Source organism: Homo sapiens, chromosome 6 (assembly GCF_000001405.40).
Source record: "Homo sapiens chromosome 6, GRCh38.p14 Primary Assembly".
NCBI classification, from domain to species: domain Eukaryota; kingdom Metazoa; phylum Chordata; class Mammalia; order Primates; family Hominidae; genus Homo; species Homo sapiens.
Window position 1 is genome coordinate 43,965,018 of NC_000006.12, and position 862 is coordinate 43,965,879.

The 862-nt window shown below is 52.3% G+C and overlaps 1 annotated feature.

Moving 5' to 3' along the window:
• Positions 1 to 500: an enhancer, noted in NCBI's record as "H3K4me1 hESC enhancer chr6:43932755-43933254 (GRCh37/hg19 assembly coordinates)". NCBI's record gives its function as "activates a minimal SCP1, AML or CMV promoter by ChIP-STARR-seq in naive H9 embryonic stem cells {active_cell/tissue: H9 hESC(naive)}" and the evidence as "EXISTENCE:reporter gene assay evidence [ECO:0000049][PMID:30033119]".

Below are 862 nucleotides of genomic sequence, written 5' to 3' on the forward strand. Positions count from 1 at the left end.
CTGGAGCTGTTCCAGGGCTGCTTGGGCTGACCCGACTGCTCCCATGTCATTGCTGAGCTGTCGGGGCTGTAGAGTCACTTGCCTTACAAATCTGGAGGCAGCAGGCTGTGTGGACTCTGGCCTGGTGCCCCCTCTCTGTGGCAGTACCTGGTGTGTGTGTGTGGGGCCTTCCAGGTGCCTGACCCCTGCCCACCCCAACTTGCTGCACCCTCTCCCGGGAACATTCTCAGTGGAAGCTCATAATCTCCTTTTAAAAATCCTGGTTCACCCCAGACTGACTTGTAGAGGCCACTCCAACCTCCCACCTCGCCCACATTAGGATTCCAACCAGATAATTTCAAATGACACCCCACCCCCCAACCTCCTGCTGCTGACAGCTTCCTCCTTCTTCCTAGCTAGCTCTTCCTCCATTCATTGTCCCCTCCTAACTCTCCCCCATCTCCCTCCCTCTTAGCCAGCTCACAGGCAGGACAGGGCAGAGATTCAGGAGGGCAAAGTCTTCACCCCAGGAATGAGGTGGTTTGAGTTCCCAGTTTTGTCCCTTATTGCTGTGAGACCTTGGACAAGTTATTCAATGTGTGTCTTAGTTTCTTCATCTATGAAGTGGGATTAATAATAGTACCAATCTCTTGGAGTCATCAGAAAGACTAGAGGGAGTGGTCATTATTATTAATTCCTTACCAACCTCCCTTCCCCCACACCCCTCCTCATCCAGCCTTCACCCTCTCTACTCCCCCAACCCCCAATATACACACAGGAATCGGGAATTACATAGAGGGTGAGACGTATACCAATGGCACTTCATCAGAACTACTGCCTTTCTGAGACCTGAGGGCAGTAGTGTGTTGGAGCCAATCTGCTG